General features: G+C 42.1%; 1 long non-coding RNA gene across 2 annotated transcripts in view; it reads left to right on the forward strand.

Moving 5' to 3' along the window:
* The window catches only part of LOC107986781 (uncharacterized), a 73,782-nt gene extending 49,445 nt beyond the window's left edge, over positions 1 to 24,337 (forward strand). The window contains exon 3 of one of the 2 annotated variants that reach the window (XR_001745159.1): positions 24,218 to 24,337. This is a non-coding gene — a long non-coding RNA (uncharacterized LOC107986781). Of the gene's footprint in view, positions 1 to 11,521; positions 11,625 to 24,217 lie in introns of those variants that run through there. The other variant, XR_001745160.2, reaches the window with a different exon arrangement.
* Positions 24,338 to 24,970: the final 633 nt, after the last annotated feature.

Below are 24,970 nucleotides of genomic sequence, written 5' to 3' on the forward strand. Positions count from 1 at the left end.
ATTCTGGTATGTTGTATCTTTGTTCTGGTTAGTTTCAAAGAATTTCTTGATTTCTACCTTAATTTCATTGTTGCCCAAAAGTTATTCAGGAGAAGGTTGTTTAATTTCCATGTAATTGTATTGTTTTGGGTGATCTTCTTAGTATTGATTTCTATTTTTATTGTGCTGTGGTTCAAGAGTGTAGTTGGTAAGATTTTGGCTTTTTGGAATTTGTGGGGAATTGTTTTATGGCTGATCGTGTGGGTCGATTTTAGAGTATGTGCCATGTGTAGATGAGAAGTATGTATATTCTGTTGTTTTTAGGTGGAGAGTTCTGTAGATGGCTGTTAGGTCCCTTTGGTCAAGTGTTTAGTTCAAGTGCTGAATATCCTTGTTATTTTTCTGCCTTGATGACCTATCTATAATGTCAGTCAGGTGTTGAAGTCTCCCACTGATAGTGTGTGGTTATCTAAGTGTCTTTATAGGTCTCCAAGAACTTGTTTTATAAATCCACATGCCCCTGTATTTGGCACATCTCTCTCTATATATATTAATATTTAGAATATTTAATTCTTCTTATAGAAGAGAACACTTTACCATCATGTAATACCCTTCTTTATCTTTTTTGCTAGTTGTTGGTTTAAATTCTGTTTTGTCTGAAATTAGAAATAGCAAGCCCTGATTTTTTTCTGTTTTCTGTTTGCTTTGTAGATTTTATTCTCTATCCCTTTACTTTGGGCCTATGGATGTCATTGCATGTGAGATGGGTCTCTTGAAGACAGCATACTGTTGAGTCTTGCTTTTTTATCCAACTTGCCACTTTGTGCCTTTTAATTGAGGGCATTTAGCCCATTTACATTCAAGATTAATAATGATATGTATGGATTTTTTTTTCTATTATTGGAAAAGACCTAGGCATAAGGTGATGGAAAGGGAGATGTCCATTTACAACAACAAAGAGTATACCACCAGTGACATTGAAAAATAAATCCAGTTTTACATCAGTTATCACTGGATACAAAGAAAACAGCAACATAAAAATGAAATCCATGATAGACCAAATAGAACAGTAATCCTAGAAGAAAACTGCTAAATAAGAGAATAGAAGAAGTTTTTTTTTTTAAATCCTCTACTTAATATGCTTTGAGAGGTTCAAGAAGGTTTTGTATCTATAAAATAAGAACATTGTGATATGAAAAAGGAACAATCATAGAATATAAAAGAGCTCTTGGAAATTAAGCATCTTTTCCTAAAATTAAAAATTTTAAATAATTGAAAGATAAACTTAAATATATATCCTATAACATGAAAATAAAGAATAAAGAGACAGAAAAGTTAAGCAGGGAGAATCATCCAAGGAAGTACAATATATTACTACTTTCATAACAAGCTTCAGAAATCGACGTTATCATGCATGTATCTTATTGATAGAAATAAATGAATGCAGATCCATGTCAAAAGAAGTTCTTCATGTACTTGTTTTAAATTTGAATGGGCTCTTCTCTGCTCTATGTAGAATATGGTCTTAGGATCACAGATTCATTCCTTTGATAATTTCAGAGCTTATGAAACATGTTAACCTTATTAAAATCATGTTAATCTTAACCATTATCAAGGCCAAAACAGAGTTGGGGTGCAGACCAGGAGATCTCATAGGAAGGATATCACAAGGAGTGATCATATCTGATTTTGATGCTGGGAAACTTGTGCCTGCCTCCACTATCCTACTCTGGGCATAGGCACTTAAACAGTTCTCTCCCCAAAAATAATCCAGTAATTTCCATCAAGTATTTGCCTGGATTGTTCCTCACTTCAGTCAAATTTCTGTTCAAATATTATCTCCAAAAGAGGCTTGCCCTGATCCTCTGAACAAAAAAGACCTCTCCTACACTATAACTCTCTATCTGTTTAGCCAGCTTGACATTTTGACATTTCTTCTTATAAATGCCTGGCAGTACGGTATGTATTTTCTATCTTCCCCACAGGAATGTATGCTTCATGAGGCTCAGGAGCTTTTTTGTTTGCCTTAGTATTCCCAGTGCTTGGCACATGGTAAATGGTCAATAAATGCTATTATTTGGTGGACTCTATGCAGGGATACCATAAGGGAAATTCTGTAGTGTTTTTATATTTTAGGGGGCTTCTCTTTCCATTTTCCACTCCTGTCCTTAGCTCCTTTCCTGCTGGGGTTGCTGTGAGAACCAAAATGGCTGACAAGGATAGCAAAAATGCAGACAGAAGGGCTGGGGTCAGAGGGGAGTGTTCCAATTGTGATGGTGGAACTGTGTTAGCCCTGAATGCTATTCTTATGGAAATTTTTACCCTTATCCCTGCAACACGTTCTAACCACATGACTGTCTCAATTGCCAGAGTTCAAGCTCTTGGGAGTGGAAGTCTTTGAAGCTAGGAGAAAAATTTATAGAATTTGGATCATATGTTATTTGTTCAGCTTCAGTTACAAATGACTTAGCAAAACAAAGTTTAAAGTTCCCAACTGAGCATTTAAAATAAAAATAGAATTTTGCAGAGAGCATAACACCTTTCATTGCAAGAAGGAATAAGCAAGCAGTGAGCCTTTTCTGGAAAATGGCATGACGGAACAATCCAAGGTGACTGGAAATTTTTGTGGGAAACTACAAAATTCTAGCTACTGATGACCTCCTTGCTTTTGCAATGCTGAGAGATGGTCATCAAAGTATATGCTTAGCTACAAATAATTCTTAAGTTCTGATATGTCTAAGGAGCTGAGTGGGAGGGAGTTGCTTCATAGTGGCTATTTTAACTCCATACATTGAAAGTTTATTTCCTTGTACTTTTGTAAGTTAAAGGAAAGCCTCATTTTTCCACCACCTTGCTCACTTTATAATTGTCCACAAATGAGCAATTGTAGGAGTCAGCACTAATGAAAATGATAAGAGTGAACTAAATTATATATTTGGGAGAGACCACAATTAGACCTATTAGCCATCTGATATGGAAGGTTATAAAGCCATAACAAGAGGTCTAAGATTCTATTCCTTCCATTTTCAACCCTGCTGCACCATTGCACATGCCATTCCTACTCCTGGGAATGCTATTTCTCCCAATCTGGTGAATTAATCTCATGTGATGTCTACTCAGTTGTCGTTCCCATCGTGCAGCCTTCCTTGACCATTTTTTCCCCCAAGTAGTGTTAGTTACTTTCCCCTCTAAGTTCCCACAGCACTTCTTTTTCATGCCTCTATTATAGACCCAATCACACACTATAAATAAGAGTTTGTTTGTACCCTTCACTCAATTATTAAGTCGTCCAGGGTAGGGACCAACACCCTTTTTATTCTTGTGGTATCTAGTGTTTAGCACAGTAGCTGGCCCAGAAAGTGAATAGATGAGTGATGTCAGTCATCCATAATATACATTGATCAACTATCACTCCAATTTTATATCCAAATTCTCACATGGCAGACTGTCAGTCTCAGCCTGAAGCTGCCCCTTTGCCCATGGATGAAGTCCTTGCAGGAGAGGTGTTCCTCTGCACGTCTCTGGAATGAAATTGCATGGGGCATCCCAGGTGGCAGAGGTTACCCTGATTCCTATTGGCATGATGGATCATTGCTGTTAGGTACATTGCTGTGTGCTTCCTTCCCATTTCGGTGAGTTCTTAGCAGACCCGAAGGGCTTACTATTCAACCTGCTCCAGATGCAAAGCTGTGGTTGACAGGAAGCTTGGGTCTACTTCTTGGTGTTCTCTGCCTATCTTTGATGACACACATATTCTGCTGAGATCAACCAACAGCAGCATGGAGCAGCTCGTCCTGCTCCTTTAAATAAATTTCCCTGTTGTTTTGAGTCTCTGCCTTTTCAAAAGAGTGACCAGATGTCTTTGAGTGCCTCAGGCAGGCTTGGCACCAGAAGACTCTGCCATTGATCCCAGTGTAACTCCATCAGGATGCTGGGCCAAGATGCTGGATCAGGCTCTCCTACCTGCCCTGAGTTTGGGGACTTTCCCAACACAGGCTGAGTTTTTGGACATTTGTATAGGGCTTAGTAAATCTGCACTTGCTAACTTATCAACAGGCCCTTAAATAAACAAACAAAACCTCTCTAAGATCATCTTTTCATGCAGTGGAGATAGAATTAGGTCAAGTTCATTATTTCAGAACCTGGCATCATGCTTTCCCCAAGTAGGTGGAGAACATATTCATGCTGAGCTGTTGAGCCTGGGAGCAAGGGGCTAAGGCACCCCTCCCCAGAGTGACAACAATTAATCATGTTCATTCTTGTTAAAATTAATGGATGTATCCTTGGAAGGCCCAACTGTCAACCAGCCAAGTCAGCATACTGGTACCTCAATTGCAAATGTGGCTTTCGATTCTTGGTTTCTTAATCTGAAAAATGTGAGAAATTAGTAGTTCACTGGAGGTATTCTTAAGAACACTGTTATTGCTCCTGGGTGCTGTGTTTTAGGATACTCAAGCCCCATGGATAGATGGTGGAGTTCAAATAGCACAACACAGAGCAACAGGAGCCCTGACTTCCAGGCTGCTGCTGCCAACATCTAGCAGTGTGGCTTTGTGACAGCTGCTTACTTTTCTGGACCTCACACTCATCTTGTAGAAGATGAAAGTTCTTTCCACCTCTAGTAACTCAAGCACAGAGAGATCACCAGAAGCCCCAGGGATTCTGATTTTCTGCCTGCACATGTAGGCTCTACCTCAACAAACAAGCTCCAGGTGGTCTGGCTCTGTTTTGTCCAGATCTGTCCACAAGGCCCCATGCTCCTGGGAGTACCATTTTCACAGACTAGAATCCAATGGTGTCCCTGAAATTTTGAGACAAAAACATATATCAAAGCCTGATTATTTCTCCCTTGAAAAGAGATGTCTATTTTAAACTTCATAGCTAAAATTAAATAGATAATGATGTATAAATCAAGAAGCAAAGGATCATTTTGTAAAAAGAAATCTGAATACTGCATACCCTATAGCAAATAATTTTCAGGGAAGCATAGCTACCTCAAATATAATAGCATATATATGTGCTTCTCCCCATAGTACCAGCAGTTTTCTTCTTTCTCAAGATCCTCCAGTGTTCAGAGCTATCTTTGCTTCCTTTCCCTCATCTTTTCTATCCAATCTGCTGTTGATCCTTATGTGTTGTTACTGTCTTCATTTCTGATATCAGCCTTTCTCTTTTCTTTCTTATTCTTTCTTCAAGCTTTCACTATTGTCATATGGAACAACTACAATATCTTTTGTTTTTTCTACTTTTAGTATCTTTCCTTTCCGAGCCATATCACATGCCACTGCCAGATAAATCTTCACGAAGCACAGCTCTGACTAAGCCCAAGCCCAGATCTTACATTGGCCCTCACTGCCTACCAGCAGTGGTTAATACTGTGGGCTGTTTAGACAGACTCTTTGGGGTTGGATCTTGGCTCTGCAGCTTGCTAACTGTGCTCTTGCATAAGTTGCACCACTTCTGCAAGCCTCTCTTTCTTCTTCTGTAAAGTATAATAATTATTATTTTTTTTTGAGACGGAGTCTCACTGTATTGCCTAGGCTAGAGTGCAGTGGTGCGATATCAGCTCACTGCAACATCTGCCTCCCGAGTTCAAGCAATTCTTCTGCCTCAGCCTCCCAGAGTAGCTGGGATTACAGGTGTCCATCACCATGCCCGGCTAATTTTTGTATTTTTAGTTCAGACAGGGTTTCACCATGTTGGCCAGGCTGGAATCAAACTCCTGACCTCAGGAGATCCACCCGCCTTGACCTCTCAAAGTGCTGGGATTACAGGCATGAGCCGTGGTGGGGAGCCTGGAATTAATTATTGATCCAACATTAGAGAGTGGTTATAGAGTTTAAATGAGGAAATATATGCTTTACATATAGTAATTGTCACAGGCTGCCAGCTGCTCTTTTTACCATTGGTACATGGTTCTTCAGAATCAGGCCTTAATATTTCTACCCAAACATGTGTGTCACTAACTCCCTTTATGTCACCTGTGGGGGTCTGGATTGTTCCCTTTTCCTTACAGTATACTCAGGTATTCCTACATCTGTACTTGAAGACATGTAGGACTTTACACCTGATTCCTTACTTACCCATGGTTAGATCAGTCTTTCAAAAAAATACATGGAAAATTTCATATATATGCCAAAAATACAGAGAAGAGTGAAATGAACGTTCATGTACCCATCACCCAGCTACTGCAATGAACCAGTACGTAGCCAATCTTGTTTTAACCTCACCCCTAAATGGATTATTTTGAACCAGATCCCAGATATTATGCCATTTCATCTACAAATACTTCAGTAAGTAATTCCAAAAGATAAGGACTCATTTAAAAAACAATCACAATACTATTACCACTTCTAAAAAGTAAAGTCATTTTTGAATATCAAGGATCTAGTCAATGTTTAAGTTTCCCCAATTGTCTCATAAATGTCTGTTAAATATTTTTTGTAGTTGGTGTATTCAAATCAGGATTCAAAGTCCGCATATTTTATTTGGTTGCTATGTCTCTTCAGTCTATTTTAATAAATACATTCCCGCTCCCTCTTTTCTTCCTTGTAATTTATTTCTTAAAGAAACTGGATCCTTTGTCCTGTAGATTTCCCCCACAGTCTGCTTTTTGCTGATTGCATACCATGGCATGGTTTAGTTTGTTCTTCTGTTTTTTGTGTTACTCAGAAATTGGTAGTTAGGTCTACAGGCTTGATCAGGCTCAGGCTTAAAATTTTTGAAGAGAATCATTCATAGGCAATGTCAAGAAATATTTTTTAATCATTGAGTCCTGGGCATGGTTCTCAGTGTACGGGGGGCATGAGTCACCTCGCCCACCACAGGTTGCATACTCCTCCTCAGGGTCTACTGCAGTGATATTTTCTTGAGAATAAGTTTTTGCCTGGCATCAGCGCTTTGTAGGTATGAGTCTTCCTTTCCTCTTAGTGATGGTTAAATTTAGGTGTCTACTTGACTGGATTAAGGGATACTCAGATAGCTGGTAAAACGTTATTTCTGGGTGTGCCTGTGTGGGTGTCTCCGGAAGAGATAAAGTTGGTGGACTAAGTAAGGAAGAACCACCCTTGGCCAATGTGGGTGGGCCCCATCCAGTTGGCTGGGGGCCTAGCTAGAACAAAAATGCAGAGGAAAGGTGAATTCTTTCTCTCTTTTTCTGGAGCTGGAATATCATTCTTTACCTGCCCTTGGACATCAGAACTCCAGGTTCTCCAGCTTCTGGATTCTGGGACTGGTTGTCCCCCAGGTTCTCAGGCCTTTAGCCTTGGCCTGAGAGTTACACCACCTACTTCCCTGAGTCTGAGGCCTTTGGACTTGCACTGAGGATGCTACCAGCTTCCCTGGTTCTCAAGCTTGCAGTCAGCCTACTGTGGGACTTCTCAGCGCACTTCCCCAACCCAGCATGAGCTAATCCCCCTAAGAAATACACTCTCATCTCCCTCTCTTTCACATATATATATATATATATATATATATATATATATATATATATATCTCCTCTTGCTTCTTCTCTTTGGAGATCAACTTTATAAACATCTTTTTCTCCATCACCCTGAACCTGCCTAGGGAGGTTTTAATAACAAACAACAGTAAGAACCACGCTAAATAACTAGGTACCTTTTTGATTGCTTAGCCTGTGCCAGGCACTGTACTAAGACTTTAGCGTGCATTATCTCGTATCATTTCACAAGAACTTTATGACAAAGGTATTTTACTATTCTCCTTCCAGAGATGAGAACACTGAAGCCAATAATTTAAGAACTTCACTCAAAGAACTTGTAAGTGATGCCCCGAATCACTGGGATTGATCTTTAGAGTTGGGTCCTTACCTATCACAGTGATCCAGCCCTATGGAAAACACCACTCCCTTTCCTCCATGAGAAACCTTGACTTTTCCTTGTGAACTGGGGTGCTGAGTTACTAGGTGTTAGCAGAGCTTTTCCATTAATGGGTGAAGGTGTTGAGAGTGTAAATTCAGTTTTGAAAAATGCCTTGAGAGCTGCAGCTTAAAAGAGATTGCAGTATAGTAGTCAAGAGAGGAGGCGGCTGGGCGCGGTGGCTCACTCCTGTAATCCCAGCGCTTTGGGAGGCCGAGGCGGGCAGATCACGAGGTCAGGAGATTGAGACCATCCTGGCTAACATGGTGAAACCCCGTCTCTACTAAAAATGCACAAAAAATTAGCCGGGCTTGGTGGCGGGCACCTGTAATCCCAGCTACTCGGGAGGCTGAGGGAGGAGAATGGCGTGAACCCAGGAGGCGGAGCTTGCAGTGAGCCGAGATCGCGCCACTGCACTCCAGCCTGGGCGACAGAGCGAGACTCCATCTCAAAAAAAAAAAAAAAAAAAAAAAAAAAAAAAAAAAAAAGAAAAAAGAGGAGGCTATGAGTGTGACCGTTTGGAGTAGAATCCTCACTGCAGCCTGCCAACTGTGTGACCTTGGACAAGTCACTTTGCCTCTCTGTGCCTTAGTTGCCTCATAATAAAATATGCATAATAAATGAAAGCGCTTAGAACTAATGCCTAGCACATACTAATCACTCAGTAAATGTTACCTGCTACTGCTGCTATATTCTTGCCATCACCATTCAAAGTATTTAAACAATTACGAGAAAGAAATAGCTTTAAAATAACATTTTCTATCTCATGCTGCAAAAGGCGCCCCCCCCAACTTCCTTTAACCATTTACTTCATTTCATTTCTTTTCCTCATAAGAAAAATGAAAAGTACAGAGGTTTCTCCCCACCTCCTCCCCCACCACACACATTTTAATTAAGGTGTCTTTTGAGAAAGAATACTTTAATCCAAAGTGATCACTTTGATACTCGAAGAGACACATTTGGAGGCTACTTGGCGAGGGGGAATTAAAGACAGAGAAGCTGAATAAATAGCAAGCAAAATGTTAATGTTTTGGCTTTGTGGTGTCTGCATCTGAGAGCACTCCACGCAGATTTTCTTGGCCGGCTCCAGCTGGAAGCCTTCGGTGTCTCCTTTTGTGTGCGCGGGAGCCTGGCTGCGGATTGCCGCGCTGCCCCTAGAGGTCAGTCTGATCCAGGGATTGTCTCGAATCCGCGCAGCTCTGGACCCGAAAGGAGAGGCTCAGGGAGAGGATAATGCGGTTGCCAAGTGCCAGGCTTGGCCTGGGTGAGAACCCGGGGCTGCGCGAGCACGGTGGCCTCGGTGCGTCCCCCGGCTGTCCCCGCCGCGCTGGGCGGCCCTGCCGCAAGTTCTCTCTACTTTCTCAACACGGGTTTGCCAAAGTCAGAAAAGGTTGGGATTTTTCTTCAACGTGATATGACTGGGGTTAGCTTGACTTTGTAATGGTAAAAAGAAAAGATGAATGTAAATGGCTTAGTGATATTTTCTATTAAACTATGATTTTTGCTTGTGCTGCATTCAACTGACTGCAACCAGGAGCCAGACGGCCTGAGACCTGTGAGGCCCTTTCCATCAAGAAACCAGATTTCATTTCACAAGAAACTGAGGCCCAGGGAAGAAAAACAACCAAAACACTGTTGAAGTCACTTGAAAACAAGTCTCAACTCAGGGTTATTTCCACTATACATAATCTCATTATTTAAAATATGATGAAGGATTATTGGTTTTAAAGGCCTTGAATTGACATAAGAAACAGTTAGGTATTTAGTTGGCAAACTGGCATAGCTGGTTGAATTCAGAGGCAGGTTGTGTTCAGATGGGGGAGGAGGGAAACCAAGAGTTACCCCTATTTGTGAGGTCCTAGGCAGATTACTTTACCTCTCTGTGCCTCAGTTTACTCATCTGTAAGATGGGATAAATCGCAAGGCTTTATTTCAGGAAAAAAAGCTAGAGAATAATTCAGTGAGCACTCTGTGAATGTTGGTGGCCGTTGTTTATTATTATGAGTAGAAACATTGCAAGGGAAGTCTTGAACACAGAGGGAGGGGTGGGAATGCACTTTCTCATCTTGAGGGGCTCAACATTACTCCTTCAGTTTTTTCCCTGCATGACTTTCAAAGTCATCTTCTTTAAATATCTTTCATGACCAACCCCCTCCATCCCCTCACCCCCCATACAAAAATTCAATGTCCTATTAAAGCAGAAGGAATGTCACTTGGGAACTAGGTAGTGGAATTGGGATTGAGGTGATAAGGACTAGCATGGCAAGTGTTGGAGGGGAAAAGTCTGCCCCAAGAGACATTTCCAGGGAAGAATTCTCAGGGTTTAGCAACGTCCTCAAGTTTAAATTCTAAAGGAACAGGACCTTCCCTGGGACTTTGGCTATGTTCTTTCTTGCCCTGTGGTCAGTTAGGTGTGTATTGTTCATACTCAGATTGTCCAATCTCAGCTTCCTAGAGAACAGAGATTCCATCCTACAGCTGGCTTCTTGTGCAGGGGTGCTTATGAAATGCTTCCCTTTGGTGCAGATTGCTGGACAAGGTGCTCACTGCAGTCTCCTCCTTACAAACCATCTTAGGTACCATTATTTTTGTCCAGACACCCTGTATAAGATAAACAGGGAGAAAGCTGATTCAATTGCTGACCACTGTCTTTGGGCTTTTCTGTCTTCTCTCCATTGATTTTGCTGTGTTTGTAGTATTTGAAGATCTTGCTACACATTTTCGTCTCATTGATATGTATTTTACCCTTTGGAGAGGGGCTGATGTCCAATCTTCCTTTAACCTGGCAGGTCTTGAGATATTTGAAGACAGCTACCAAGACTCCTCTAATTCTTCCTTTTTTTTGGTTGTCTTTAACCATTCCTCATGGGGCATGATTTTTAGAGTCATCATTATCTTGGTTACCACTGGTTTCTAGATCTTCTCCCCTTTGTAGATATCTCTCGTCACCTCCTAGATATTGTTACTCAGAAGTAAATCCAATGCTGTGGCTAGGATCAAATTTTCTCACAGCTCTAGTTTATCTTCTGCTTTCTTTGGAAGACTACACTGTCATTAATACCTTCCAGTACTATATTAGTGCCTCTGATGGCAGTATTTTGCTCTTGAATCATGGAGCTTATAGCCAAACAATCTCCAAAGTCTTTCTTACATCAGTGGCCACTGGGTCATATTACTCCCCATCTTGTCCTTGATTAGCTGGTTGTCTGAATCCAAAACCTGGGTCTTATACTTAATTCAACAATAGCAACTTGTACATTTTGTAGACTATTAGTCTTTTTGGCCAGACTATGAATTCCTTGAGTCCAGACATTCTGCCTCTCAACTCTCTATTTCTAGTGCCTACCACAGTGCCTGGCATTTTATAGGTGGTTTACAAACATGGAATAAAAGCATGGCCTATTGAAAGTCTCTGAATCCTAATTTTCTTATTCATAAATACTCACAATATTATCCATAATATATAAATGTTACATGTAAGTGTGTTAAAGTGTTCTTCTCTCCTCATCCCAAATTAGTAATGTTTTGATTAAGACAGAGCCATATAGGACCTAACTAGACACCACCATTCATAAAATCCAAGGAAAATAATGGCAGTAATCAACATTGACCTGACCGTCGTTCATCAATATATCACACATTTACTTTCTTTTCCTTATATCTAGATTAAATTTTGGGATCTTGACCATAAAGATTTCAGGAAATTTTGTTGAATGCTGTGTTAAAATCAAGAGGCATGATAGCCGTGGCATTCCTGAGATTCAAGTGTAATAGCCAAGCATAGGAAATGAGGTCAGTGCATCACAACTTGAGTTTTAGTGATTTTCTGCTTCTGCAGGCAAATTGCTTAATGTTTCAGTGTTACTACTGCCTAGTGGAGAAATGTGGATAAAAGTGTACCATATTATTGGGTTGTTATGTCAGTAGCACAAGATAATCCAGACGAAGCATACAGTATAATGCCTGATACATGGTATATGCTTAAAAACATGAACTACTCTTATTATTACTTTTATTTGGCCACCTATGGAACCACTCAGTTGGATTCATATCCAAGAAATTGTGCATTCATCCCCTCAAGCCTGTTTTGATGTTTTAAATTAGTTTAGCCAGTTTAGTGTCCTTTAGCCAACAACTGTGGTTGGCTCAATGTTTATCATATCAACCTTTTCTGTTTACTTGTTTGTTTTGTTTCTTTGCCTGGAAGAGACAAAGACCTGAGTGTGTTTCTTGTGAGCAGATGCATGTGTTTGTTTAAGCCAGTGGCACAGGGCTGGGAAGAGAATGAGGTGGAGTGGCCAACAGAGAACCTTGTAAATACAGGTCAGGCCAATGCAAAGAAAGTTTGTTGGCTAAATCATCTGTGTATCAGTGATTTGTGAAAACTGAATGCAGGGAGTTTTCTTCAGCTATCAACAAGGTAGTTTAAGCATCAGGCAAAATGTCCAGCATTTTGAATGCAGTTGTTTAAATTAATAAACTCTGAAATTCAATATCAACTGAGGTAGTGGTCACTTGCCTCTGCGTGGTTTGACCTTTAGAGTTTTATCATGCGGATGTTATGCTGCTTCAGTTGAGTGCGTGTATTGATATCCTCATCTGTCACAGGGGATAGTTCTAGGTAATTGTTATCATGCACTGGTCTATTCCATTCCATTACCAGATTTTTCTAAATTGGTTTCATGGTTTGGATATTCTTGTGAATTAGATATTATTATCCTGACTTTCCACAGAGATTGAGGACTTTGTCCGGGGTCACACAGCTGGTAAGTGACAAAGCACGCTCTCTTTGACTCCAACATTCTTGGTTTTAACCACTATATTATGTTAGCTTCTTTGTGACATGCTTTTGTCTTTTAGGCAATCTCAGTTGCTTTTTCAACTCATATCAGTGAGCTTTGGGAATTCTTTATGGAAGTAGAAGTAGCTTATATTTATTATTAAAAAGAACTAAAGGGTCATATAACATTTTGTTTTAATCTCTGGAGGAAGTAGATTTGTAAACAGCCATTAACTACTTTCTTTGAGTTTTGAAGTTGAACCCTCAGTTATTCAATTCATAATTGACTCATTAATAATTTAGTTAATTCAACAAATATTAATGAAGCACTTACTACGTGCCTGCCACTGTTTGAAGTACTCAGAAACTATGCCAGACTCAAAGCCTTTCTATAGAATTTGGATATTATTCTAATCTGAGTGCTCACTTTTCAGAAAAGCTTCAGTTCCAACTATCATTGTGATTTAAGTTCTCACTAGATTGGAATATTCTTTATTCCTTTAATACAGTTTATAGATATGTACACTTAGTCCTGAATCCTGGCCTCTCCTCACCTTTTATGACCACTTAGCCAAAGCCTATGTACTCATCCTTCAAGGGCCCGGGGCCTACCTTCTGCTTGAAGCCTTCCCAGACCACAGGGCACATATTCTTTCTCCTCTAACTCCAGCTTATGTTTACTGTCTGTAATATTCTTTTGTCCCATAAGAGCACGACTGTTGGATTCTAATATTTCAAGGGTTCTTAACCTGGGATGGGCCCCGAATCACCTATGGAGTTTTTTTTTGAAATTTATGTGCTTGATCTTCATCTTACCACATATTTTCAGATTTGATATCTCTAGGGCTAGAGCTCAAGTGTACATTATTTAAAACAACTCCCCAAGTGATTCTGAAGTTTACAAGCAGGTTCAGAAAACATAGCTTACATCATTGTAATGTATGGCCACTGCCCCTTTACATGGTCTACATCAGGGACCCCCAACCTTTTTGGCACCAATAATTAGTTTTGTGAAAGACAAAACTTTTCCACACACTGGAGCGGGGTTGGGGGGGATGGTTTTGGGATGATTCAAGCACATTACATTTACTGTGCACTTTACTTCTATTATTATTACATTGTAATATATAATGAAATAATTATACTACTCACCATAATGTAGAATCAGTGGGATGTTGAGCTTGTTTTCCTGCAACTAGAGGGTCCCATCTAGGGTTCGTGGGAAACAATGACAGATCATCAGGCATTAGATTTTCATAAGGAGCATGCAACCTAGATCCCTCCCATGTGCAGTCTGCAATAGGGTTCATGCTCCTATGAGAATCTAATGCTGTCACTGATCTGACAGGAGGCCGAGCTCAGGTGGTAATGTGAGTGATGGGTAGTGGCTGTAAATACAGATGAAACTTTCCTTGCTCGCCCGCCACTCACTTCCTGCTGTGCGGCCTGGTTCCTAACAGGCTACGGACTGGTACCGGGGTTGGAGACCCCTGGTCTATACCATTCTGTAAAGCAGGTTCTATCCCTTCAACTAGGCTTCAGCACCTAAAAACACTGGGATTAAAATTCTTTGAATTTTCCTAATTGCCTAGCACAATCCTGAGCACAAATACTCCAGAGTTAGTCACTGAAAGAATTAGTTAAAGGGATTGATCCTTTTTACTCTTTCCTCACAATGCACTCAGAAAATTTCAGGAATGAATTATGCCATCCAATACCTAAGTCTGGTACCCTGGAGGCAAACTCTGTGGCCTTCTCTGTGTGGTAGAGATAAAAGTGGTTCACTTAAGTTCTGGCTTTCTTTCTTCTAGAAGGATAGATTTGAAGTTGTTTTTGTGGCCACGTGACTTGCTTTGGTTAGAGCTGTGAGTAGTTGACATGATGAGGGTGTCTCCAGGCTGGAGAATGTAATTGCTGGTGCAATACCTCCCAGGCTCCCTTCTGCTGCCTTGACAATGAGCAAGGCCACTGATACGGAGGCTCCAGCACACTGGGTCCTTGAGTGAGGACACAGGAAGCAGATGCTCCCACTGACCTGTCTGGGACATATAGCCTGAGTAAGAAATAATGTTTGTGGTTACAGGCCCCAGAAATTTGGGGAATATTTGTTACCACATCTGAATCTGTTCTGACTGACACAGCATGGATTAAGTCCGTATTAAATTATTTGTCATATGCATTATGTAGGTTTTGCAACTTTAAAAAAGTTGAGCATGAAGAGTTGAACTATTTTTGAAAAGGAAGAGTGGAAACAAAATTCAAAACTGAGGCCTAGAGTAGAAAGTTAATAAATTTGAGACTTGTGTTTATATGGCCACTAAGGTGATGTTTTCGTCATATATGTACTGTTTTCTTATTAAATTCACCAGCCGGGTGTGGTGGCTCACATCCATAATCTCAGGACTTTGGGAGGCTGAGGCAGGAGGATCACTTGAGCCCAGGCATTCGAGTCCAACCTGGCTAACATGGTGAAACTCTGTCTCTACCAAAAATACAAAAAATTAGCCGGGCAAGGTGGTGCACACCTGTGGTACCAGCTATTCGGGAGGCTGAGGTGGGAGGATCACTTGAAGCCAGCAAGTTGAGGCTGTGGTGAGTCACGTTCATACCACTGTACTCCAGCGTGGGTGACAGAGCAAGACTCTGTCTCAAGAAAAATAAATTTGTTCAAAGGAATAACTATCATCTTCAGTTCTCTACTATGGAGAATTGAAGATTGAACAAAAGGTAGTCATCCAAGGAGATTTAGTATGTTGGCCACACCCTGAATTTGTCATTTGGGATAAATTCCATTGAGATGGTGGCTGGCAGGGGCACCTCCTCTCCAGGGTTTCAATGCTTGCAGTTGAACTGCTCTGCTGCACATGGCCACCCACAATTTATAACTGCTTGTGTGGCTTTAGCCTTCTCCAACAAGGAGTATCTTTCTCTAGGGCTTTGAGAGTTTGGTATGTGAAAAACTGTATCCTGTCTTAATTTGCATTTCTTTGGTGGTTGGTGAAGTTGATCACTATTACATGTACTTTTTGACTCATTTCTTCTTTTGTGAATTACTCTTCAGGTCTTTAACCAGGGAGATCTTTAAGAGGTGGATGCCTCCCTGAAGTCAGGACACAAGGACCCTTAGCCTCTCTGCTCACCTGGGGGCTTCCTGACCATCCTCAGCTGCTCCAGCCAGTGTCTTGGCACAAAGGTTGGCAGGAGGTCCCCCAGCGCAGTCACCACCCTGACCCCTGCCTCCCAGCCTGGACTCCTGATGCCTCCTTTTACTCCCTAAGTGCCAGGGTCTGATCCTGGTTCTTGAATGCCAAGGAAGGGCAGAGAGGGTGTGAGAATAGAGGACATTGTCAGAACCCAGAGAATTTCACTTTTAAGACTGTACCTCTCTTTTCCCTTCCTTCTTCTAGCCTCTCCCACCTCCCTTTCCTAGCTTCCCTGGTGTGGAGGGTTGGAGGATTGGGTGGGCTCCAGCAGGTGCCACAGCAGCAGTTGATACTCCAACTCCTTGCTTCCCCTGGGAGCTGCCAGCAGCTTGTTCTATGTCACATGCCACTCCTCAGGGGGCTCAGGCTCACTCACAACCCCTCCAACCTCACCAAAGGTCACATCCAAGGAAGCTGTGGTTCCCCCTCTTCCCCATCCCCACCTTGGCTACTCTCACCTTTTCTAAATTCCTTTCTGTTCTTTCACTACACTGATGTCTGCGTGATCTTTTATTCTCATCATCTTACCTGTCGCACCACCCAGGGCCTTATCACCTATGAGGCAGACTGAGACCCTTGACTCAGCCTATAAGCTCCTTGATCATCTGACTGATTTGTTGATCAGGAGTACCTGCTATACATGGAAGGATAGATTGAGGTCAGATTCTGAGGGGCCTTGAATGGCGGGCCAAGGAGTTTAGATGGAACTGCGTGGCCCGTAAGAAAATAGTGCAAGCGAGTGGGTTACGAGCAGAGTTGTACCATATTTTTTGGGAAGGGTAGGGAGAGACCCTAATAGAAGTGTCCAGTTAGGTGAGGACTTTGCTTCCTGTGGGAAGACAATGAAGATGGGGCTTTATCTTGGGGCCCACCAAGATGATGTCACTATGGGAGGCCCTTTTGAATACATAGTGAGTGCCATTGCTCATCAGCCCTCTTACCTTGGGGAGACTTAATAAACTTTCTTGTGGAAGAGGGACATAAGACGATGAGGTTGTTTTTTCCTTATGGGTGCTGGAATGTGGGGTGTGTTTTATCCTGTTACGACCCTCATTTTGGTAATCAGCACAAGGTCTGGGCCTCTGTGGCAAGAGCAGTGACAATGTTTTCACACCCCAAGGGGCACACAAAAGTCAGCCAACTCCCTGCTGCCGGGTCAGGAGTGAGGGTCAGAGCAGTGGAAGTCCAGGGACTCCCCAGAAATGGGGCTTAGGCACAAAGATCATTTAGACCACCCCCAGGTCCCTGGTCACCTTCTGCTTTCCCCACACATCAGGGGAGGTTCTGGCAAGAAGTAGCACATCCACACTGGGAAATTTGAAGAGGTTTTGTATAGGACCATTTACAAAGGTAGAGCAGGGATAGGAAAACTTCAAGGGGTGCTGTAGTTCCCAGGAGAAATTCTATCACTGTATCTGTTTTGCTTTTTCTCCCATCTGGAAAATGCACACACACACCTGAGTAACTCACTTTCTTCTTGAATTCCAAAAAACTTTTGTGATTGTATATACAATCTTCTCCTAGAGTGCTCAGAAGGGCTCTGTGTGGAGTTGTGTGGAGAGGGTCCCCTTACAGGAGCCAGGACTTTCAAGAGCCACATGCCACAGTGACCCCACAGCACTGGTGGGGAGCTAGGGGCATAAACACCACGACTTCATTCTTCTGTGCTCTGAGCTGTTGCTGATGCTCCCTATTGGCCAAACCAAATTGGCAACCAGAGGATAAGGGAGCCCGCTGAGGGAGTCCATCTTGTGACCTCCTAGGCCAGGGCAGAGGGCAGAGGGTAGAGTGTGGGTTGGAGGGAAAGTGGAAGATACACTCCTGTCCCCACTGTAGGGGAAGAAAAACTCTTCCTCTCCTGTCTTAGATGTAGTGATTGGGGACCTGTGAATTAAACTGACAAAAGACAGATTAGAAAGAGAGAAGAACAGATTTAATCATGTAAGTGTGGAGTTCACAAAAAATGCTACTCAAGGAGATGGTTAGAATTTGGGGCTTATGTAGCATCTGAAAGGAAAGGGAGGGGGAGAAAGGATTTTTATGGGAGGAAAAATGACTTTTGGAAAGATAAATGGGTACTTAAGAGGGTAGATGGGAGATGTAGTTTTGTGATAGTGGCTCATGTCTGATGAGGAGAGTCAATCTTCCCTGCTTGCAAGAAACTCCTGGGAGGGGGTTTATGCCAACTGAGTTCTTTTGGGAGGCTCCGCTTTTAGGCAGATTTCAGAAACTCAAATCCCTTCTGCTTAAAATCATTTTTATGCCCCAGTGATATATTCCGGACCACTTCACCACCAAAGGTAGCGTGACCTGTGGGGGGCTGTAGGGAGACCAAAGGTTCCCAATTTTAGAGCCACCAAGTTTGAGGGACCAGAGAATCAAGGCTACTGTGGGGCTGCACAGGCTTCTGGGAAGAGAGCTGGAGTGATGGGGCCTCATCCTCTCACAGAGAGCAACCAGCGTCACCAGGTAGCCCTGCTTCTGGGATATCCCGTCCTGATCAATCTTAGGCTGCTCTACGGCATGGCTATGGGGCATTGCACCATGTTATCCCTTAGTCTAGGGAATCTGACACTTGGCCTCTCACACGCTGGGAAGCCAGCATCCTATTTATCTCACAACTTCAGGAAATTATACTGCTTCTAGGTCAGGTTCTGGCTGGAGTAAAGAATGCCAGGCTACAGGGTCAAGAATGCTAGGCTACGGGGTCAAGTGACATCATTTTCCTCAGTGTTTAAGGAACACGCAGAGCCCTTCTGAGCACTCGTGGAGAAGATTCTATGTACAATCATGAAAGTTTTTTGGAATTCAAGAAGAAAGTGATTTATTCAGGTGTGTGCATGCGTTTTCCAGATGGGAGAAAGAGCAAAACAGATAAGGTGATAGAATTTCCATTGTTAGATTCTTCTTGTTTGTCTGTGAACTATGCATGAAGGAGCTATCCTGAGCCATGAATACTGAAAACACTTGAGTGCTTTTCCATGTGTGAAAACCTTACCCTTTGAAAAATCCAAGGCCCACCCTGGGCCACACATGTCGAATCTGAGCTCAGCTGTTAGGCAGCTCCTCACCTGCGCCAACAGCGAAAGCAAAAGTGGTTCGGCACAGACATTGTTTAAAATGGCTGCGTTAAAAATACCATCTCGGCTTCACAGATTTCTGGAGCTGTGAGGAGCATCCTCATTTATGTGCTCTGATGAAGGTGAGTCTGAGAGGAATGCACAAGCCAGTTAAAAGTGGTTCTCTAATTGGATTATGCAACAGCTTTTGAATCTCGATGCTTTAAATTTTTAAAGAGCCAGCAACCTCTCTCAGCCCAAAGTCCCTGTGGCTCTGAGCAAGGCTGCAGGGCATTGAAGGGGGGACAGGCTGATAGCTCAGTCAGGTGTAGCTTCAGGACTGTTATGGAAAGGGAAGATCTGTGTATGGGGAGGACTTTCCTAAGGGGTGAGGAGGAAAGAAACTGCTGCCATGTGGAAGGGAGGCATGGAGGGACTCCAGAAGACCTGATTTTGGGGTCCCTGTCCAGTTAAGGAAGTTGAACATAATTTTGGTTTAGGTTTGCTTCAGAAGTCATATAATCTTTGCCACTCACTGATGCTGACTGTGACCCTTGCATAGCCAACTCCCAGAGAACCTAAGTCAAAATCAAATACTTGGCCTTTCTTTTCAGAATGCTTCCGTTTGGTGGCTCCAGGCAAACATTTTGCAAAGAATCCTCTTACCTCCTGTTAACTGCAACCTTTGCTGCCTGCCAGCCTACCAGGCGGTTCCCTCAATTTGTTCAACACAAGGTCTGGTTGGCCAGGTCAGGTTCCATTCCAGTGGCCCCAGGACTGGAACTTGTCCAGGACTCACAGACCTTCCAATGAGAGGGATCAGAGCTGTTGACCCAGTGGCATTATTCTCCAGCTGGGCTTTGAGATAGAGTCAGAACTGTCAGTGTTTCTGCAGTGCCTCCATCCAGAGGTGGCAGGGCTTGGGGCTGAGGTATAGGAAAGAAGACAGGGTTAAGAAAAATGACCAATGTGGTGGTCCTATGCAAAGATAACCTCTACTATTTGCTTCTGAGGAGTGGAACAGTTGGCAAATCACCTAGAAGTTAGTGGAAAGGATTGTGAAGACAGGAGAAAGGAAAAATACTCAACATGTGTTGATTATGAATTTTAATTACTGAGTTATCTGTTCAGTCAACAGGCTGGGAAAGAAATGTGGGCAGGAAGAGCTCTGTGAATGTTACAGATGATACAATTCTGCTTTTAGGAAATGCACAATTAAACTGTGTCTACACAACCCAAAGTAAAAGCAGATGTATCCGTCACCAGACTATTTTGATTAATGGGGAAATTTGGAGCTTAAATTATCTGGTTCTGCCAGCTATGTTGATCAAATGAACTGGATCGTTGCCAGATCTCTATTTCTCTCAGTGGGGTATAGACACAACTTTGGGTGAGGCAGTTTCAGGGACAGGATTCATCATATGAGGCAGCAGAATCTAAGTGGGAGGGAAAGGCACTTCAAAGCAAGTGATAACAAAATCCTTACATTTGGATAACCCGTATCGAGAGGCCATGGACTTAGGTTTACCTCCAAATCAGATAATCGACTCAGCAGGCTACATGACCTCTGGTGTGGAACCACACTCTTCCTGCTCTTTCTGGGAGTTGGTTATCCAATTAAAGAAGCAGTCCTCATGCTGCTGGTTTGCATTGAGGGGACTGAGTGACTGGGAAGAAGTAGAAGAGTTGATAGAAGGGTATTTTTTGGTATCTACCCTCTGATACTCAGGGAGGAACTCTTTCTGATCACCCATTCAGAGAGGAGACCAGCGCCGTGAAGACAAGCCACCTCTGCCATCTTACTGACTTGTCCAAAATTATCTCTTGATACGACAGAATGTACCACCTGCCCTCCAAAGTTTTCACTGAGCCACTCTGTTTTTCTTTGCTTGTCTAAAACATGTTTGCTGTTTGTTTGTTTATAGATACAGTCATTTGCAAATTATGGAGTCAGTGTAGCTCTTGCATTCAGGGCTTTTTCTAGAGTACACATTTTAAATATCGCCACTCTCTGAGACGAGAAAATGATTTGGGTCATGGAGGATGCTGTTTCACCAAAAAATGTCTTTTGAAATAAGGCCCTGCTGGAATATGGATCCTTTACTGTTAACTGATGTGTTGAATGGTTTTGGATGTCTTTTATTGAAAAATAAGGGAGGCAAATTAAAAAAATAGGAATAATGACACTGGGAATCATTAAATGAAATGAGTGATTAAGAAGTGGCTACAACTCAAATGTCCCTCAATGGATGAATGGATTAATAAATTGTGGTATACACATAAAATGGAATATTATGGAGCTATAAAAAGGAATGAAGTACTGAAACAAGCTACAACATAGATGAACCTTGAAGACATGCTAAGTGAAAGAAGCCAGACACAAAAAGTTACATATTGTATAATTCCACTTACACAAAATATCCAGAATAGGTACATTCGTAAAGGCAGAAAGCAGATTGGTGGTTAAGTGCTGGAGAGAGGAGAAGAAATGGGAAGTGACTGCTTAATAGGTAATTGGGTTTTCTTTTGGGATGATGAAAATGTTTTGGAACTAGGTAGACGTGGTGGTTGCACAACTTTAAATGTGCTAAATGCCGCTGAATTGCACACTTTAAAGTGGGTTAATTTTATGTTTTGTAAATTTTGCCTAAAAAAAAGGGGTCAAGAAAGCAAACTTGTTTGAGTCGCGGTACTCCCATACTCATTCTCTTTTCCTTTTTATTTCTTCTTTTTTTTTTTTTGAGACAGAGTCTTGCTCTGTCACCCAGGCTGGAGTGCAGTGGCGCGATCTTGGCTCACTGCAACCTCCGCCTTCTGGTTTCAAGCGATTCTCCTGCCTCAGCCTCCGGAGTAGCTGGGATTACAGGCTCCCGCCACCACGCCTGGATAATTTTTGTATTTTTAGTAGAGACAGGGTTTCACCATGTTGGCCAGGCTTGTCTCAAACTCCTGACCTCGTGATCCGCCTGCCTCAGCCTCCCAATCATTTTCTTTTCCTAATGAAGAGGCACTGAGTTTACGACCATTTTGAAGAGGTTCCCTATAGCCAAACAATGTCAATGCCTTAAAGGACCTTGGAGACCATTTCCTCTCATCTTCTCATGTTGCAGATGAGACGTGATTAGGCAGAGGTCCCTTGATTCCAAAATCGGTGCTTAATCCAGGAAATTGCATTGTGTCCTGAGAGTAGGAGATGTAGCATTCTGAGACACCTATTCAAAGTGAGCAGAACATTTCCAATAACTTCTTTTTTGCTATGTTTTGGACCAATTGCTAACGATTGTAATAGCAGTAATAATAATAGCAAAAATAATAAAAAATAACACAAGTAGATGAGATGCGTCCTCTCACCTACTGCCATTCCTCAATGTGTAGATATTGTAAAACATCATAGATTTATATAATTTTGTCAATAAAAAATTGTAAAAATATAATACACTGATAATAATATCAGTTTATTGTGCTCTTATTAAGTACCAGATACTGAGTGAAAGAAGCACATTTTATGCAATACCTCATTTAATTTCCCCCCAACCTCATGAGGTCAATGAGAAAACTGATGTCCAAAAAGGTGAAATAAATTCCCTCCAGAGCTTAGAAGAGTTGGGGCTGGAACTGACCATTGGGAGGGGCTACAGTACTCTTAATTAAAGCATCCAATACATGGTTTCCAGATCTTTGGATTTCACAAACTAGCAAAATTTCCAGAAACCAATGTAAGGTGGCCACATTTTATTTTGCCAAGTATAAATACTGAGTAACAAGCAAATAATAAAAACGACAAACCTACTATTTCCTGTTATTGTTATGTTATCAAATAAAACATATTTTCACACCAAAAAGTAGAAGGACCTATTCTCAGAACAGAGAAGAGTCTTGTAAAGTAGATCTGTTTTATTTTATGAAAAATTCTTTAGTCATTTTGCTGCCCAGAAAGATGTCATAGTGGATGCTCAGGGTTGGTCTTTGCTGATGGCTGTCTGGGGACTCAGCACTGCAGGTCACCAAATCAGTGTTGGTGTGGGAAAGTTCATCTTATGCTCACTTGTGGGCTCCATTTCCACCACCATGACCACTTTGTACATGGAACCATTGAACAAGCATTGTGGTGGCTGGAGAAAGAAGCTGAGTGACATCCACCAGACAGGTCACCTTGTCCACCAGATTACTGAGATTCTCTTCCTCAGTTACTGAGATTCTCTTCCTCAGTGGATGTCCTATGGTAGAAATCAATGTGAGTCTCAAGTATCTTCATACATTGTGCCCATTCCTAGAAGTTACCTGCCTACCTTTCCTTCAGACCTCCTTGTCACCTTTTTTCTGATCTTGTTCTTTCCAAACACTTGACCTTCTAACCAACACTTTGGGCATTAATTGTGAATCAGTATAGATTTATACATGAGGTCATCTTTTCTTGCTCATAAAGTGGACAGCTAGATGTATTTCCCCCAATATGAATCACTGGGAGGATTTTTCTTCCCCACTGTCTTTCAGGGGTACACCTAAATAGGCTGTAATATAATCAGCTTTGACTTCTGTCTGGTGCCAGTAGACTGGAAAACTCACAAGTAGCCCAGCCCATGCTTTCTCTTCCCCCACTAACTAGTAATAGAGAGCTCTCCAACATGCCATGGTTGGGACTGGGAAAGAGGGAATGCAGCAGGAGGAGCAGGTGCTATGGGAGGCTGAGCCACCTGTCTATGCTGTTCACTTGTCCCTTCTAGGCTTGCTCAGGTCAAGTCTTATGCATACCAGTTCCATTTGACAATGAGATGCTGCTGTGCACATCCAATTTTATAATTTGGTCAATCAAACTACATCTAGTTCATGATAGGCAGCACTTGGTGTTCAATGGTCAGGTTTTTAGTCCTTACTAGGCTTAGTAGCAAATCAAATCTGGATCAGCCTTTTTAATGGACAATTTTAGTTGGCAGAAATTGGCACAGCCATACAGTGAATCCCAAGGGAAGCGTTCTGTGCTTCTCCTACTGTGGCTAGCCAGAGCCTCCATTCAGCATCTCTGCAACAAACGCTTCCAGTTCAGTTGGATATGACTGGTGGCTAGGCAGTTTGAATGGTGGTCTATCTCTGCTGCAGAGCCTTTTTAGATCAAAACTGGCAGCCTCACAGTTGACCCAGAACTTGGGTCAGAGCAGCACACTTATGTTCCTAGAATCCAAAGAGGGCCCCCAAACCTTACTCCTCTTTGTGGAAAGTGAGTCAAGGTAAAATATTTGTCTCATACTTTTGAAGCGATGACACGCTGCCATTCTCCCAGACCACTGACATCTGGAACTCTCACTACTATCTGTCTTCCAGATCCAACTAGCACAATGTCAATGATGAAATGGACCAGTGTCATATTCTGCGGGATATCAAGGCAATCAAGATCATCTTGGACTGTATTGTGACAGAGGGCCAGGGAGTGAACAGAGCCCTTATAATGTAGGTAGTTTTCCCTTGCACGTGAAGGCAACCTGTCTCTACTTATCTTTTCTGATCCCTTTCCTGGCTTCTAGGGTAATTCCATGTGATGATTAAGCACTACCATCTGCTTTCTACCACCCTGAGATCCCATTATTTCCATCAAAATCCAGAAACTCAATGCCAACTTCCACCACCGCCTCCTGCATAACATCACTGCCTCAGGGGCTTTCAAGGGTGCTGGTGCTCCCCTTACCAATACATTTCTAAGTTCCTTGGTAAAGCATCATCCAAGTCTTCTTAGGGGAATAGTTAGGGGATAATGATAATTTGAGTCTTCATGATGATAGCATGTCATAAATTACCACTGTGTGTTTTTCTCTGGCAAGGAGTTTGCTTGTGCTTTCATGAGATATGTGGGCAACTCAATCCCCAAATCCGTTTTTGAGAGTCTGTTTTCTAGAACTACTCTATATTAGTCAAGGTCTTGGCAAGAAGTAGACGGCACACTTTAAAAACGGGATAAAATTGAAGAGTTTAATGAGGGAAGCTACTGTCACCTTTAGTCCTGAATGGGCAAGAGGATCATGTTACCAGAACCTGGAAAGAGCTGTGCTGTGGGAGAAGGATGCCTGGCAGGAATGTGGC

Source organism: Homo sapiens, chromosome 7 (genome assembly GCF_000001405.40).
Source record: "Homo sapiens chromosome 7, GRCh38.p14 Primary Assembly".
Classification (NCBI taxonomy): domain Eukaryota; kingdom Metazoa; phylum Chordata; class Mammalia; order Primates; family Hominidae; genus Homo; species Homo sapiens.